Consider the following 19,861-nt stretch of genomic DNA (forward strand, 5'->3'; position numbering starts at 1 on the left):
CTCCCTCCTATAGTCTGACTCTGGCAGAAACTTAGAACAGTTAGCCAAAGCACTCCTAGTTTGCCTTCAGGCAGACCTATCCCAGGCCACAAAACTTTCTGCTGGGGTCAAAACCACACCCACTCATGTCCTCTGAAGAGGGAGCACCCAAGTACTGTGCCTGTGGCTGGAGCACATACCACATTTGCCTCTCAATTCTAGCCCCAGGGGCTTCTCCCCTGCTCAAGATCATAAATCTCTGACCTGAGACTCTCCAGACCAGTAACTGCCACTTGTGCTGGCTGGCAGGTTTCCACATAGCTCCCTATGAGCTAGGATACAGAATGGCCTCATTCTATTGATGCCCAGTTCTAGGAGAGCATGCAGGATAATTTCTAGGGCTGTTCCTGCTCATAGACTTCTGATGGCTCCCCAGGTTAGATCCAGAGCTTGGTTGGGACAAGGATCTCCGTTATAGCCTGGATTGCCCAGCTTCCCAGTGGGAATGTGCATCATGGAGGCAATCACTCTCTATCTCATGCACTGGGGATTCACTCACAATTTTCTGCTGGAGCCTGCCACATGAGTTGTTACCTGCATTTTTTTTCTAAGTGCCCAAAGTTTTCTTTAACTCTTATGTTGATCTCCCGTGTTCCTTTTTGCACAGAAGTTCACAGTGTGAATCTTTACACACAATTTTGCTATTTCTAAGTAGGTGAGGTATACTAACAAAGCCTCCAATTACCCATCTGGTGAAAGAAAGGTGTTTAAAAACTTTGAAAAAGAGATAGACCCTAAAATGTAGGTATTTGTAAAGAATTCCTATACCAAGACATACGTTAATTGTGATTTACTGTGAAAAGCAAGAGCAAATATAAAGACTATACAGGCGATATACGTCATGATTTTTTTACAAAAGAAAGCAGAGTTATATTTTCTCATTCTGAAGTCAAAGAAGAATTTTATAGCTGAATCTTTTAGTATAGGACATTGGGAAACATGATGGACCATGTCTTGATGTATGGCTTTGCAATAGGTATAGAAATGTTCAAATGCACATCTTTTAAACTGATTCTGCATGAAAATTGAAGGCAAAATGTAACATGCTAACTTTGTGTGGAAAAAAAAGGATTATTAGCTCGAATAATGTGCTCTAGACACAGATCTAGGAGAAACACATAAAATGGATTCCTTAGTTTTATGTGAGCTCTTTTTGTTTGTCAGCTGGCTTATCATTTTGAAAGCTGATAGTTACTCGGGGCATGCATTGGAAATACCCACAGATTATTGAGCAAAACAACATTGATCTGAGAAGAAAGCCCTCTACAAGAAAAGAAATATCCCTAAATCAAACTAGCAATACGAAATCTTACTTACCTAGAAATACACTAATAAAAGTTATTGATTACTTACGTGATCAATTCTATAGACTGAAACAATTTAGAATAACAAATACAGAAATAAAACTTTTTACCATTAAATTTATGTCAAAACTCCCCAGCATAAGAAAAACCACAACACTGAACAACCCTTTCATCACTGATTTGGCAAGGAGTTACAGGTGACAATAAAAAATAATGTCAAATCTTAAGGGTTCTGGTGTAAGAAGTCCTAAATTCTATATCTCTTCTGCTAATAACATGTCATTTGAAAAGCCAACTGATCTATATAATTTTTTTATATCCTCATATAAGAAACAAACATAAATAATATCAGTATATCATCTGGCCATAGTTATAATAAAAGTCAAATTAAAAGTTTCTATGAAACCCCTTTATTAAGATAAACATAGTAAATAGATAATTTAATTTACATTTAAAGATTTCTCATGCTGAAAAAAAGTATCGATGTTTTGAAATAGTTTATCAGAAATTATTACAAAAGGAAAATTTTCAAAAGCCCAACAAATAGGGTATAAGAGGGTGGAAATGAACTGTGAATGGGGCACAAGAAAACTTTCTAGGGTGATGGATAAGTTCTATATTTTGGGTTCAGTGGTAGTTACACAAGTAAGTGCAATTGCCAAAACTCCTTAAATTGTATATGTAAAATCTTTGCATTTTATTATGTGTAATCACAATAAAAAATGTCCAAAAGCTATTGAATACCTTATGAAAAGTCTATTTCTCTAAAAACATTGCCTCCCCCTTCCCCATAAAAAGAAAGAGTAAGGGAAAAAGTCTACTTCAAAACATAAGAAAAATGCAGGACCTTAATTATATCATTTTTTTAAGAACTTAATATCAAATTTTGATTATCTTTCAAAAAAAGAAAATACAGATTTTGCAGCAAATAATATTCTCATGTACATTTTTCCTTTATTTCCATATGTGATTACCTTTCTTCCACAGTTCAATACAAATAATTTTACTCACAAATACCATAATCCTAAATTTCACATTTTGTGTTTGTTATAGTCATGGTCATTGCCCTCCCATGCAACATTGAATCTGAAACAAACAGTAACTAATGGCTTTCAATTCATTTCTAATGAGCCATTGCTGAATATGTCTGCATCATTCTGGTTTTGTTTCATGGTATTATGTTTTTACATTTTTCTTAAATTTTACAGTTTCTAGTACTTTGCATTAAAACAATTCATCATCTTTAAAAACAAATGTTAAAAAAGAAGAAAACAAGCAAAATCTATTCTTAGATATAGTACTTTTTAAAAGTCCATTTTTTTTTAATTTTAGTTTATTTTTAATTGACAAATAATAAGGCAACACTTTTAATCTGAACCTGGTATTATGGTTCTATGTGAAATAATGAGATAACCTAATACGGAATGATTTTTTTCTAACTACACCTCTAAACAAGCAAAATTATCTTTGAATATGTTTCTATGCAGTTCTGTGAATAAAATTTAAAGATTTTATGTATGGCTATGCTAAATTATAATCTTCTGGGCTTCAATAACCGTAAGATATGTTTTCATAACTGCACTCAGGAGACATCAGAAGGTGTTGGGGTTGAATTGTATCTCCCCAAAAGACCTTGAGGTCCTAATCACCAGGATCTCAAAATGTGGCCTTTTTTGAAAATAGAGTATTTACAGTGATATTCAAATGAAAGTGAATCCATTAGGGTGGAAACTAATTCAATAGGACCACTGTCTTTTAAAAAGGGGGGAAATTTTGACACAGAGATAGGCCCTCACACAGGAAGAAAACTACAAAAATTGAAGGCTGAGATGAGGGTGATTCTTCAGAAGCCAAGGGATGCCAAAGATTGTCCCGGCAAAGTAATACAGAAGGTATACAGGGAGCTTTTTACAATTACTATGATGCCTGATAAAACTGTCTCTTCCTCCATTCTTTCAACTCAGTTTTGGTGAAATAAGAGAGTTCATTTATTCATTCAAAATAAGGTCTTTAATACCTTTTCTGTTTATCACTGCCTGTCTTCAAATAATATGCCACTTCCTGTAAAACATAATAGCCTTACAACAAGATACTGTGCTTTCCCCTTTTCTTCCTTTGTGCTACTGTTATCAAAAAGCAATTTTACTTAATCAGTTAGTTCTAAGGCCTATTTGTACAATAATTATTTGACCAATAATTGGTGGTAGGATGTATTTATCTGTCAAAGAAAGTATACTTAACTCCTGAGTTACTCCTTTTTGATAAAATTTGAACTACATGAGGTTCCAACTTTTCCAGTGAGAAAATAATAATTATTTAGTCTTTCACAAATTTGTTAAACCTTGGGAACTGAGAGATATCATACATATCAACATATGTTGCCACTGGCAACGTATGTATGATTATATACTATAAGCAGGATCAGATGATGATGATCTCAAACCATTGATGTGGAGTCACACCTGTCTTGTTCTGGTATTTAGATTTACTACTTTTTAACACTGTGATTTCTGCATAAGTTACGGAAAATATCTAAGTTTTTGTTCTTTCATATATAAAATAAACATAAATAAAATCTGACTAAGAGATTTGCTCAAGAACAAAATGATACAAACTGTAAGTGTCTGCTATAGATAATTGCTTTAATTACTTGTGTGAATTTACTGAATCTGTCCAAAAGATAATTTGATAAAAACTACTCGAATATTTAATGTAGACACACTTTGATCCAGCAATTACACTTATAGTAATTTATTCTACAAATAAACATGCACACATATATACAGAGGCATATATAATTCCTCAAATAATAGATTATAATTGTAAAATATTAAAAATTCCCTGTGTCTGTTATATCTGTAAACTACAGTGTAGCTATACCATAAGAGGATGAGTGATCTACCTACCCACACATATTTTGTTCAAACCTCCGGTTTTTGTGAAGGAAAAATCTTTTAACTCTTAAAGATAGATATTGTGCCATAGATTGCTATTGCCTGAACTAAAATTTTGTCATGGCTTTGCTTTTATATTAGCACTTAGGACTTCTATGCATAAATAAGGTAAAAAAAAAAAAAAAAAAAAAGCAAAACAATATCTCTGGTAACACATTAAAACTTTCATAGTTTTTATTTGATGTGTTAAGATATACATAAATAATCACAAGTTTTTAACTTATTAAATGTCAGACTTTTTCAGTTATTATATCCATTAAAAATTTTTAAACATTTTTATAAGAGATGAAAATTTTAATGCATAGTGCTTCATGATTTAAGGTATTTATTTAAATACTCATAAAAGACAAACTAAGGAAAAAAATGCTTACAGTCATCTGGGAGCAAACCTTCACGTTGTCTGAAAGTCAGCTTTGTAGTGTCCATAAGAAAAGCAGGCCAAAGCATCAACACAAATGCCAACTGCACAGGCAGCAAAGAGCCAGATGCTGTTGGCAAAACATGCTCCAGAGTGTGGCATCTGGGTCCAATAATGGCCATACAGAGCCCCATCTGTAGCTAAAGCTGTTGACTCTGCTTTGGGGGAAGAAAAATCAGAAATAAAGAAGGCAGTTAAATTTTAAACCATGCCAGGAATAGCAGAAGGCAGGTTGCAGTCAGCATTCAAATTACATCGCTAGCCCAATTTGCTTTTTAATGTCTTGAAACTGTGTAAACACTAAACTATGTTAACTCCAGTTGTTTAGAGAGATGAGCACATATAGGTAGTTCAGTAACTTAGGACACACAAATCAGCTAAATAGATTTGATATTCCATCAGACGTTCATTTATCTAATTTTTTTCTCAAGGAATATAAGCATATGGTCCATGAAATGCAATTCTAATTTGATCTATTAAAATATGCAATTTTAAGTGTTCATTATGGTATATAATTTTCTTCAAATAGCATAAAATTTAAGACTCTTCTTTACAATGTTTATAATATTTTATTAGAATAACTCTTCACAAAGTTAAATAGGATATTCATGTATCCTTCACTGAGACTCCTTAAAGTTTTGATCAGTGGAAATTTGTGGGAAAGCTACAAAGAACCTTAAGCTTTAATCAAATAAAGTTTTTCAAAATTATAAAGAGATGATCAAAATAATCTCTTTTTAGTGTTCTTCATTTGTTGTACATATAAATATATAAAATGGAATTAGTTGATATCCAGATGATTAAAAAGATTCATCATTTATAAGATGCCACACTAATCTTATCTATGCATATATTTTTGAAAACAAGATCAATGTTTTAAATAATAAAAACTAATGATATTTACAGTGAACTATATATAAAAAAGTTAACTAAAACTTTGTGGACAGAATATTATTTATCACCATAACCCTGAGACATTACTATTGTTGATTCTACTTTCTAGCTAAGGAAACTGGAAGCTTGCAAATGTAATGTAAACTTACTTATCCCAATTCACACAAACCCTTAGAGACAGAATCAAACTTAATATGCAGACACTGCAGACACTGTGATTGTAGAACCCATATTTATTCTCCTTCTCCCCAATAAGATGAAAATAAAATATAACTTGATAGAATCATTTCTGTAATAGCAGAGGAAGAACTAGTCAAACATACACTCTTCCATAAAAGAAACTTGTACATTGATAAATATAGTTAAAATAAGCTGTTTCAGAACTGTGTAAATGAACTAAAGGCTTGAAACAATCTCCGTGTTTATTCAAGAAAAATGATTGAATCTCATAAGCCTAATCAGCTTCGTGGTTGTAAACAACCATCCCTCTCTCCCCAGCTCTTCAATGGACTTGAAATCCAATATCATTGCAATAATGGTAGCTGAGAAACCAGCAACCTAATAGCCAGTGGAGGGGGAGGGGATAGTACAGGTATGCATTTGACTCAAAAGACCCTTCCCAAGGAATGTCACTATTTCATTGGTTTGACAGCACTCTGAAAAACTCCATTCTCAGGGACTGACTTTATTTGACCTGACTAAAAATTCACTCTTATAAAAAACCATATATCTAGGGAATTTGTTAAAAATAATCAGTGGCAATTGCTTAATATCACAGTGTTTGAGGCAATAATTCCAGTTGAGGGCAACTCTAGGTTGATCAATATAATCAAAGATTTAATAACTCGGGAATTAGATGTACCTAGAAGTCTTTGAAAGCTAGAAAAAATCCTGGAAAACTAGAAAACATCACAGCATGCAAGTCTATAAACAGGCCTAAGAAAGATATAAACAGCCCTAATCTCTGATCTCTGACTAACCTTGAGGCTCTATACAAGCAGGAAGTAAAGAATAAAGTACAGTTGTAAACTGCCTGGCTGAGCATTGAAGACATGTCTCAACACACACACAGAGTCCTTTAGTAAAGGCTGGAAGATGTTTTAGTTCCAAAAATCTAAGAAAAATCTCTGTGAAATGATTCATTTTAGCTGACCACTAAGTTAATCAAGCAGAGACTAAAATGGCCACACATGGTAAAGAACAATCCCAGTGAAACACTAGACAAATAGTAGAAACAACAAAAACAAAAACACTAGCTACTAGGAAAGAGCAAGATTTGATTTCCAGATGTACCAAGTTATGCTATTTAAAATGTCAAGTTACCAGAAAATATTATAAGACATACAAAGAAATAAAAGTATGGGCCATGCACAGAAATAAAACCAGTAAATAGAAACTGCCTTTGAGGACACCCGAATATTGGATTTACTTGACAAATATATTAAGTCAGCTATGGTAAACTTGTTCAAAGGGAAATATAAACTATTATATAATCAATTAAGGAAAGTAGGAGATTGATGTCTTACCAAATCAGTAATAAAAATAAAGGAAGCAATTATTAAAAAATTAAAAAACAAATAGAATTTCCAGAGTTGGAAATTATAAAAACTGAAAAACAAATGTAAAAGAGAAAAACAACGTCATCAAAAAGTGGGCAAAGGATAGGAACAGATACTTCTCAAAAGGAGACATTTATGTGGCCAACAAACATATGAAAAAAAGCTTATCATCACCGGTCATTAGAGAAATGCAAATCAAAACCACAATGAGATACCATTTCACGCCAGTTAGAATGGCAATCATTAAAAATCAGTAAACAACAGATGCTGGAGAGGATGTGGAGAAATAGGAATGCTTTTACACTGTTGGTGGGAGTGTAAATTAGTTGCACCACTGTGGAAGACAGTGTGGCGATTCCTCAAGGATCTAGAACTAAAAATACCATTTGAGCCAGCAATCCCATTACTGGGTATATACCTGAAGGATTATAAATCATTCTACTATAAAAACACATCCACACGTATGTTTATTGCAACACTGTTCACAAAGCAAAGACTTGGAACCAATCCAAATGCCCACCAATGATAGATTGGATAAGGAAAATGTGGCACATATACAGCATGAAATACTCTGCAGCTATAAAAAAGGATGAGTTTATGTCCTTTGCAGAGACATGGATGAAAATGGAAACCATCATTATCAGCAAACCAACACAGGAACAGAAAACCAAACACTGCATGTTCTCACTCGTAAGTGGGAGTTCAACAATGAGCACACAGGGAGGGGAACATCACACACCAGGGCCTGTTGGGGGGTCAGGGGGATAGTGGAGGGATAGCATTAGAAGAAATACCTAATGTAAATGATGGGTTGATGGGTGCAGTAAACCACCATGGCATGTGTATGGCACATGTAGACCTATGTAAAAAACCTGCACATTCTGTACATGTATCCCAGAACTTAAAGTATATTAAAAAAAAAAAGTTATTGGAAAAAATAAAATAATTACTAACTGAGCAAAACAAGAGACTTAATTTGGCAGAAGAAAGAAGTAGTGAACATAAAGATAAGTTTATTAAGATAATTGTGTCTGAGGATCATCAGAAAAAAAATAAATAAATGAGTAGATCCTCAGAGATCTACTCACATATGAGTTCCAAAAGGAAAAGGGATAGATAAATGCTTTGAAAAATTAATGGCCAAAACTTTCTGAATATTATGAACAAATGTTGATCTATACATCCATGAACCTCATCAAACTCAAAGTAGAATAAATTGAAAGAGATTGAAAGTTAATCATGATAGTCAAACTGTAAAACACAAAGAGATAATAGTGATAGCATCAAGAAAGAAAGTGATTTATTACATACAAGGATCCTCATAAGAATAACAATTGACTTCCCATCAGAAGCCACCATGTAGATAAGAAAGCAGCAGAATGATATATTTGAAGTGCTAAAAGAAAAAAAAAGACTATCAACCATGAATTCTATATCCTACAATGCTACCTTCTAAATTAAAGCAGAAACTAAGACATTTTCAGATAAACAAGAACAGGAAGATTTCATAACTAGCAGACTAACATATAAAGAATAGTAATGATAGTCCTTTAGGTTAAAATGAAAAGAAACTATAGAATCTTAATTATTCACACATAAAAATCATGAGATCCAGTAATGGTAACTATATTAGTAAATATTAAAACCAGTATAAATATGTTTTGTTCATAACTCTTTTCTCTGTATATGATTTAAAAGATGGAGCATAAAACCATAATTATAACAGTTTGTTGATGGGCTTATAATGTATAAGATATAATTTGTATCACAATAATAAAACAAGGGAGTAAAAAAAGGGGAGCAATGGTGGAGCAATATTTTTGCACAGTGTTAAAAATAAGTTGCTATTAATGCTGTGTAATTGCTTTATCTTAAGAGGTTACTTATAATCTATAGGTCAACCATTAAAAATTTTCTAAATAATACAATAAATGTAACAAGGGTGTTAAAGTGGTATATCAGAAAAAAATATCTATTTAACACAAAGTAAGGCAATAATGGAAGAAGGCAGCAGCAAAAGAGAAGAAGACATATAGAAAACAAATGGCATAATAGCAGAAGTAAACTCTACCTTATCAGTAATTACAGTAAGTGCAAATTGAGTGAACATTCCAATCAAAAGACAAATAATGGCAGAATGTGCTTAATGAAAAAATTGTTCAACTATATGCTATTTGTAATAGTTATACTTTGTATTCAATAGTGAAAACTAAATTCATAGCAAAAGGAAGGAGAACATAATGAAAATTAAAGCATAAATTAATAAAGCAGAGAATAAAAAAGCAATAGAATAACACAATGAAATCTAAAACTGGTACTTTCCAAAACTGAAAAACCATTAACTAGAATGATCAAGAAAAAACAGAGAAGACCCAGATTACAAGAATCAGAAATGAAAGAGAAGAAAATACTACACTCTTCCAAAAACAAAAAAGGATTCAAAGAGAATACTAAACAATTACACGCTAACCAATTATAAAGGCTAAATGAAATAGATAACTTTACAGAAAGGTAAAACCACGGAAAGTAACCCAAAAAAAGTATAGCATATCAATAAACTTACAATAAGCAAAGAGATTTAGTAATAAAAATGTGTTCCACAAAATAAGTACATGAGTAGATTGCTTTACCAGTGACTTTACCAAATGTTTACAGAATAATGAACACCAATCCTTCTGCAACTGTTCCAAAAGAGAAGGGGAAAATTCTTAACATGTTCTATGTGGCTAATATTACCCAGTCTAAATCCAGTCAAAGATATGACAAAAAAAGAAAAATACAGATCAATATGCCTTAGGAATACAGACCCCAAATTCCTTCATGAAGTACTAGCAAATGGAATTCAGCAACATATACAAAGAAATATACATTATGACCAATTGGGACATATATTAGTTCTGCAAGGTTGGTTTTAAAATAGAAAACCACTAAATGCAATATACAATATTAATAGAATATAAGACAAATTACACATATAAACAGCTTCATTGACAGCATTTGAAAACATTCAACACATTTTATAAAAAACAAAACAAAAAAAACACTCAACAAACCAGAAACAGGAGGGAATGTCCAAAATCTGGTAAAGTGTCCCATGAAAAATCTACAGCTAACATCATACTTTATGGTGAAAGACTGCTTGATTTTCTTTTAAGCTCAGGAACAAGACAAGCATATTTAGTCTGTCATTTCTAAGTTCAACATTGTACTGGAAGTTGTTGGGATAATTAAACATAAAACAGAAAAAAACGTATCAATATTGGACAGGTAGGAGCAAAATTGTCTCCATTATCAGATATTAAAAATCCTAAGGAATCGACCAAAAATTATTATAACTAATAAATAAGTTTACTGATGTTGAAAAATACATCATCAATATACAAAAATCAGTGCTGTCTCTATACACTAGCAAAGAACAATCTGAAAATGGCATGAAGACAATTCCATTTCTAATAACATAAAAAGATTCAAATTCTTAAGAATAGATTCTAAGAAGTACAAGTATACATAGGAAACAATAAAATATTATTGAAAGAAATTAAAGAAGATTCAATAAAATCTCTATTAAAGTTATGGCTGCCATTTTCTTCAGAAAGTAACAAGCTGATACTAAAATTCATATGGAAGTACAAGGATCCCAGTTTAGCAAAACAATGATGGAACAAAAAAATAAGTTGGATTCATATTTCCTGACTTCAAACTTACCAAAAGCTACAATAAGAGGGTGTGGTATTAGAATAAAGATAAATAGAATAGAGGGTCTAGAAATCCTTACAAGTTTGTCTAATTCATGTTAAAGTTACCAAGATAATTTAATATGGAAAGAATAGTATTTTTAAGAAATTATCCTGAGACAACTGGATATTCATGTGTAGAAGAATGAGGCTAGACCTTTACCTCACACCACACACATAAAAATTAACTAACTCAAAATGGATTATATCTCAATATAAGAGCTAAAAATATAAAGTTTATAGAAGAAAATACAGAAATAAAATTATTGTAATCTTCAGTTAGACAACAATTTCTTAGCTATGATATGAAAAGCAAAAGTGGCAAAAGAAAATGAGTCAATTGGTTGTCCTCAAAATTAAAATTGTTTGTGCCTGAAAGGACACCATGAAGAAAAAGATAACTCACATAATGGAAGAAAATATTTGCAAATCATATTTGATAATTGGCTTGTATCCAAAATATATAAAATTTCTTACAACTAAGATAAAAGGTACATAACTTCCATTCCCAAATGAGCAAATGATATGAGGAGATATTCTCCCAAAAAGAGATACACGAGGTCAGAAAGCACATGTTAAGATGAGCTGTATTATTAGTCCTTAGGGAGATGAAAATCAAATGTGCATTGAAATACCATTTCACACCTACTAGAAGGGTTAAAAAGACAAACATCAACAAATATTGGCAAGATGTGGAGAAGTTGACACTCTCATACACTGCTGGTGGTACTGCAAAAATTATACATTCACTTTGGAAAAGAGTTTGGAAGTTCCTCTAAAAGTTAAGCACAGAGTTACTCTATGATCCAGCAATTCTACTCTAGTTTTATATGAAAAATAATTGAAAATATATGTCTGGACATGTATTGCACATGTTTATAGCAGCGTTATTCATAATAGTCAAAAAGTTGTAATAATCAACATGTTTATCAGCTGAAAAATAAACAAATTTGCTGTAACTTTATGATGTAATGTTATCTGGCCATAAAAAAGAAACAAAGTCCTTATAACTGCTATGACATAAGTCTTGAAAATATTATGCTAAGTCAAACAAACCAGTCACCAAAAAACATATATTGCATGATTCCATTTATATGAAATGTCCAGAACAGACAAATCCTAGAGATAGAAAGTCGATTAGGGGGACTTTATTTATTTCAAGGGGGAAGAAGGAAATGGGGAGAGGCTATGGTAATGGTATGAGTTCCTTTGGAATAATAAAAGTATTCTAACATTAGATAGTGGTGATCCTTGTACTTCTCTACGAATCTACTAAATCTATAGTAGTTCTCTCCTTTTCCATGGTTTTGCTTTCTGGTTTCAGTTACCAGCAGTCAACCATGCTCTAAAAATAGATGAATATAGTATAATAAGATATTTTGAGAGAGAGAGAGAGAGAGAGACCACATTGACACACTTTTATTACAGTATGTTATGATTTTTCTATTTAATTAGTAGTTATTGTTGTTAATCTCTTAATGTGCCTAACTTATATTTAAACTTCACCATAGTTATATATAGAAAAATACATAATTTATATATAGATGGTCCCCAACTGGTTTGACGTGATGTCTTGTCTTTACAATGGGATAAAAGCAATTTACATTAAGTAGAAACTACACTTCAAGTACGCTTACAACAATTATGTTTTTTTGCTTTCAGTGGAGTATTCAATAAATTACATGAGATATTCAATAATTTATTATAAAATAGGAATTGTGTTTTTCTCCACCGGTAAGTTAATGTAGGTTCTGAGCATGTTTAAGGGAGGCTAGGATAAGCTATGATATTCAGTAAGTATATTAAATACTTACAAGTACATTTCCAACTTACAATTTTTGTCAATATACAATGGGTTTATCAGAAAAATAACCCTATTGTAAGTTAAGGGATATGTGTAACCCTGTATAGAGTTCGGTGCTATCTTTGATTTTCAGACATCCACTGGGGGTCTTGGAACATATCTCCCTTGGAATAGTAAAGGGGGACTATTGTACTGAATTGTACACCTAAAAAGGTGAATTGTATGGTGTGTTAATTATGTCTCAATAAAATTATTATTTAGAAAGATAACTAGGTAAGGAAATTCCTAAGTTGTAAGTCATCCTATTTATATGCAACATATGGAATACATACATTATGCTCATCTCATTAATATAGCATATTTAGTGACTGCTCTTTTCTCTTTACAATCTAGAAAAGCCAATATGAATATAATGTTCATATTAATACATTATCTTTATAATCACAAAGGAGAAGCACATTCAGAAAATCTGATTCAGCTAAACTTTAAATTTTATAGCCAGATAAAATGCAACAAATATCTGAAATATGAAAATAAATAAAGCAAATAATATATCAAAAATCTTAGGAATGATGAAATGACTAAGAGTTTGTCTTAATTTAGGTAACAAAATCTCCTGAAACATTTATACATTTAAATCACTAGGAGTTCACAATAAGCCATGTCAGGGTTATCTAGAAAGACTGATTATGTATCATGAATATTAAAGTATTTTGAATTAAGCCTTGTAGATGTTGCTTATTTTGTTTTCAATTTTTATGACGTCTATATCAAATGCGATACTTTTATTTAAATAAAATTAATACCATGTTGGACAATAAATTAATATTTGAGTCCTCTCATTTTGTTGGGATATATAAGAATATTTTGAACCAATAGGTGGACAAACATAAGTGATGTATTTCATACACACACACACACACACATACACACGTGTATTTAACTCATATGTATAAGACATTGTTTTGGGAAGGAGCAAAGTAGCTTCTGATAGCCAGGATATTCAGGAGCTAGCCATATAGTATAAAGCAGGTTTAGAGCTAGGTGTAAGTGTTCTTCTGATGACCATTTCAACAATTTCATAGAACATCAGTATCAGACATGGCTAATCTATGCAAATGAGAGATCACAAAAACTAGGCTAACTTATAATCATATCAAATAGAGACAAAACCAGGAACATCACCCAAACAAAAGACTAACAAAACAATCCCCTGTCATGGCTAATATAAGTAATTGCTACCTCTTTTGAAAACATTGGCTTTCACTTCTTTCTTGTCTTTTCCTCCATCCTCCTAGGTAAGACTTACCATAAACCTAATAATAAAATTCTGCTCCCTTCTTGACAACTTATCCAGAGCAAAGACCCACTCTTTGAAACCATCCCCCAAAATACAAGTAGCAAGCTCAAGTCGGTAAGTCCTTTCTAACATCCTTTTATTTAGATATCCCTGTGGATCTACATGATGTGTTTTCTCCCTTGTTGCAATGAGTTATAAACCCAACTTTTGCAACCCTAGGTGTGTTCCCAGTGGTGTTTGTCTGGTGACTGCCAACAGCATCAACACACACATACAGAAACGCATATACAAGTTATCTTAAGAAATTATAGGAAGAGCTAAATGCCAAAAAAAGGATATATCAGAGTCTCAATGAAAGAAATACTAGAAAATTTATAGTACATATTATAGGTTATAATTAATTAATGTAAGAAAAATAAAACAGATAACAATTAATATTATGTTTTTAGTTCATCAAAAGTTTATTATTTCTCCTAATATACAGGTGGAAAGGTTATTAATATCAATTTGTGTTCATACATCAACTTACTAATTGCTAATGTCACAAAAATGTCTCTGGGTCTTTTTATTTTTATATATCTTTAACTAATCCTAACTACTGGCATTGTGAGTTTTCCTATATTACCAAAATTATTTATTTATCTTTTTTTTGTCACATAGTATCTATGCCATTATTGCCAGCTATTGTGGAATTCAATTTAATAAAGCAAACTGCCTACTGTTGAACAGTCTGCACCTTATAACCCACTTTAATCACCAAAAAATTAGAAACATTTGTGAAAAGTTTTACAGGCATGAGATAATCCAGAATTCTCAACCTTAATCACAAGGCAAAAGAGAATGTATGATTTATTTTGGAGGACATTCTGAAATAATTTTAACATTTTCCTTTGTAAAATAATCATCTGAGTGTGTTTGTATGCAATTCATCTGCTTCTGAACAAGAAAAGGATTTAGTTATGATATACTTGATTATGCATCTACATAAGAGATGCAATGTATGCCAAACAAATCTAGGATTAAAAATTATTTACCAAGGGCAGGGCATGGTGGCTCATGCCTATAATCTGAGCACTTTGGGAGGCTGAGGCGGGCAGGTCACTTGAGATCAGGAGTTCGAGACCAGCCTGGCTAACATGGTGAAACTCCATCTCTACTACAAATACAAAAATTATCCAGGCATGGTGTCAGGCACCTGTAATCCTAGCTACTCGGAGGCTGAGGCAGGAGAATTACTTGAACCCAGGAGGTGGAGGTTGCAGTGAGCCAAGATCATGCCACTGCACTCCAGCCTGGAAAACAGAGTGAGAGTCTGCCTCAAAAAAAAAATTTACAAATATATACGTGGTTATTAAGCTTTTGGAATAATAGCAATAGCTACTAAGAATTTCTTTTTCATGTGTATGCATCATTTTAGATTTAGGGAGTACATGTGCAACTGTTACATGGATATACTGCATGATGCTGGAGTTTGGGGTACAAATGATCCCATCACCCAGGTAGTGAGCATAGTATCCAACAGTCAGTTTTTCAACCCATACTTACCTCCTTCCCTTCCCACTCTAGAATTCCCCAGTGTTTATTACTGCCCTCTTTATGTCCACGAGTACCCAGTGTTTAGCTTCCACTTATAAGTGAGAACATATGATATTTGGTTTTATGTTTCTGTATTAATTCACCTAGAATAATGGCCTCAAGCTACATCCATGTTGCTGCAAAGAACATGACTTTGTTCTTCTTCATGGCTGCATAGTAGTCCATGGTGTATATGAACCACATTTTCTTTATGCAATCCCATGTTGATGGGAACCTAGGTTAGTTCTATGTCTTTGCTATGGTGAGTAGCGCTGAGATGACTACATGAGTGCATGTATCTTTTTGGTAGAATGATTTATTTACTTTTGGATATAAGCCCAGTAATGGGATTGGTGGGTGAAATGGTAGTTCTATGTTAAGTTTTTGAGAAATCTCCAAACTGCTCTCCACAGTAGCTGAACTAATTTATATCCCAACAACAGTGTTTAAACGTTCTCTTTTCTCCAATGCCTTATCAGCATCTGTTGGTTTTTTAACTTTTTAATAATAACAATGCTGATGTGTGTGAGATGTTGTCTCATTGCGGTTTTGATTTGGATTTCTCTGATTAATGATGTTGAGCATTTTTTTCATATGTTTATGGGGCACTTGTTAAATGCGTATCTCAAAATGTCAGAAAGATATCAAACTAATGATCCAATATCATACTTGGAAAACCAGAAACATAAGAGCAAACTAATTCCAAACCTAGCAAAAGAAAAGAACTAAAATCAGAGCAGAACTGAACAAAATTAAGACCCCAAAATCCAGGGAAATAATCAACTTAACCAGAAGTTGGTTTTTTGAAAGCATAAACAAGATTGATAAACCACTGTCTACATTAACAAAGAAAAAACGACAGAAGATCCAAATAAGTACAGTCAGAGATGACAAAGGTGACATTACAACTGATCTCACAGAAGTAGAATGATTCTGAGAGACCCTTATGAACACCTCCATACACATAAACTAGAAAATCTAAAGGAAATGGGTAAATACCTGGTAACACACCACCTCTCAAGATTGAATGAGAAAAAAATTGAAATCCTGAAAACACCAAGTTTTGAAATTGAATCAGTAATTTTAAAAAAACAACCTACCAACTAAATAAAGCCCCAGACCAGATGGATTCACGCCAAATTTTACTAGATGTAAAAAGAAAAGCTGGTACCCATTCTACTGTAACTCTTCCAAAAAAAAAAAAAAAACAAAAATGAAGTCGAAGGAACTCCTCCCTAATTCACTCTATGAACCAGTATTATCGAGATACCAAAACCTGGAAAAGATACAACACAAAAAGAAAACTACAGGCCAATACACCTTATGACCCTCAACAAAATACTAGGAAGCCTAATATGGCAGCACATCAAAAAGTTAATTCTCCAACTAAGCTTCATTCCTGGGATGAAACTGTTTCACCAAACACAAATCAATAAATGTGATTCACTGCATAAACAGAATTAAAAACAAAAAACACATGATGATCCCAATAGAAGTGGAAAATTCTGCTATGAAATTCAACATCATGCTAAAAATCCTAAATAGACTAGGTATCTAAGAAACATATCTCAAAATAATAAGAGCCATCTATGGTAAACCCACAGCCAACATCATACTAAATGGGCAAAGTCTACAAGCATTCCCCTGGAGGACTGGAACAAGCCCAGCCTCACAACTTCTATTCAACACAGTACCGGAAGTCCGAGCCAGAGCTATCAGGCAAGAGAAATAAATAAAAGGTATCCAAAAAGGAACAAAATAAGTCAAACTATCTCTCCTTACTGGTGATATGATTCTACACCTAGAAGATGCTGAAGACTCCACCAAAAGGCTCAAAGTTTCAGGACACAAAATCGATGTATACAAATCAGTAACATTTCTATGCACCAATAACATTCAAGCTGAGAGCCAAATCCAGAATCCATTTACAATATGAAATCTCATTTACAATAGCACACACACCAAAAACAAAAAACAAACAAACAAACAAAAAAGCAAGGAATACATCTAATCAAGGATGTGAAAGATCTGTACAAGGAGAACTACAAAACACTGCTAAAAGCAATCAGTAATGACACAAACAAATGAAAAAATACCCCGTGTTCATGGCTTGGAAGAATCCATATCATTAAAATGGACATAATGCCCAAAGCATGCACAGATTCAACGTATCAACCTACGAATGTCATTTTTCACAGAATTAGAGAAAAACTATACTAAAATGTACGTAGAGTGAAGAAAGAGATTGAATAACTAAAGCAATCTTAGAGAGGAAATAAAAAAAGATGGAGGCATCATGTTACCTGACTTCAAACTATACGTAAGTCTACAGTAACCAAAAACAGCATGGCAGCATTGCACTGGTAAAACAACAACAATAACAGACACACAGATCAGTGGAACAGAATAGCAAAACCAGAAATAAAGCAACATACTGACAGCCATTTAATATTTGATAAATCAACAAAAATAAGCAATAAGGGAAGGACCCCCTATTCAATAAATGGTGCTGGGAAAATTGGCTGTCCATATGCAGAGGACTGAAACTGGACCCTTACCTTTTACTATACACAGAAAAGTAACCCAGGATGGACTAAATATATAAATATAAGACCTCTGACTATAAGAATCCTAAAAGAAAACCTAGAAAACACCATTCTGGACATCAGCCTTGATAAATAATTTATGAGTGAGTCCACAAAAGCAACTACAACAAAACCAAAAATTGACAAGTAAGATTAAGCTAAAGAGCTTCTGCATAGCAAAGGAAACTATCAACAGAGTAAACAGACAACTGACAGAATGGGAAAAATAAAGTGGAGTATTCTCCCAATGTGATAGTCTGAAATATAGTCTGAAACCAGGGGCACAATGCACTGTGGAAAGCCGTAGGGACCTCTGCCCTTGAAAGCGGGGTATTGTCCAAGGTTTCTCCCCATATGATAGTCTGAAATATGGCCTCCTGGGATGAGAAAGACCTGACCGTCCCCCAGCCCAACACCCTTAAAGGGTCTGTGCTGAGGAGGATTAGTAAAAGAGGAAAGCATCTTGCAGCTGAGATAGAGGAAGGCCACTGTCTCCTGCCTGTCCCTGGGAACTGAATGTCTCGGTATAAAACCCGATTGTACATTTGTTCAATTCTGAGATCAGAGAAAAACCGCCCTATGGTGGGAGGCGAGACATGTTTGCAGCAATGCTGCCTTGTTATTCTTTACTCCACTGACATGTTTGGGTGGAGAGAAACATAAATCTGGCTTATGTGCATGTCCAGTCATAGTACCTTCCCTTGAACTTAATTATGACATAGATTCTATTGTTCACATATTTGTTGCTGACCTTCTCCTTATTATCACCCTGCCCTCCTACTACATTCCTTTTTGCTGAAATAATGAAGATAATAATCAATAAAAGCTGAGGGAACTCAGAGGCCGGTGCAGGTCCTTGGTATGCTGAGTGCCGGTCCCCTGGGCCCACTGTTGTTTCTCTATTAAAAAAAAAAAAAAAAAAAAAGAATGGGAAAAATAGTCACGATCTATGCATCCAATAAAGGTGTGATATGCTGAATCTATAAGGAACTTATTCAACAAGCAAAAAACAACTCCATTAAAAGGTGGGCATAATACATAAACACCTACTCAGAATTTCTATTTGGAGTTTCTTCAGAATTCTCATCTAAGAACTAATTAATACAATTGAATTATGGAATATGTGGAAAATTTATACTATAAAATATATCAAAAATTTTACTAAAATAATCCAAAATCACAATAATCTCTAAGTAAAAAATTGGAAGTTTTAATTTAGCGGACTCACTCCTTTCTTGTCAGAGTGTGGTAGTTCTCATACTGCATGGAAAGGTCCAAAACAATGTTAAGATGGCAAAAACATGTTTTGAAGAAGTAAATGCATTTGTATCATTACCATATTGGAACATTGCATTTTCAAGTTAAAATTTGTTTATACTTTGTTGACATCTGCCCTTCAGTGTTTTCAAATTTCAAATGATTGCGACACCATCTTGTCAGTAAATGGCTCTTCATTGCTGGATGGTTATTTTAATTAAATGTATCTAAAGTGAAAATAATGTCTGGATGTATCCCAAGGACACTGAGCACTCCAAGTAATTTCATGAAGAAAGCTAAAAATATGTTACTCACCGATAGCTTTTGTAAAGGTCAGTACAGGTGGAATTGTTCTTGCAAGGATTCATTTTACACTCATTGGATTCTTGTTCACAAAAATTTCCTTCCCAATCAGATAGGCACACACACTGGTAGCTC

The 19,861-nt window shown here is 33.2% G+C and overlaps 1 protein-coding gene across 2 annotated transcripts in view; it reads right to left on the reverse strand.

Moving 5' to 3' along the window:
* EYS (eyes shut homolog) overlaps positions 1 to 19,861 on the reverse strand; it is a 1,987,247-nt gene that overhangs the window by 1,206,075 nt on the left and 761,311 nt on the right. For both annotated transcript variants that reach the window (NM_001142800.2, NM_001292009.2), the window contains exon 15: positions 19,739 to 19,860. In NM_001142800.2, the coding sequence (NP_001136272.1) occupies positions 19,739 to 19,860 (122 nt within the window). The remainder of the gene's footprint in view (positions 1 to 19,738; position 19,861) is intronic.

Source organism: Homo sapiens, chromosome 6 (genome assembly GCF_000001405.40).
Source record: "Homo sapiens chromosome 6, GRCh38.p14 Primary Assembly".
Lineage (NCBI taxonomy): Eukaryota > Metazoa > Chordata > Mammalia > Primates > Hominidae > Homo > Homo sapiens.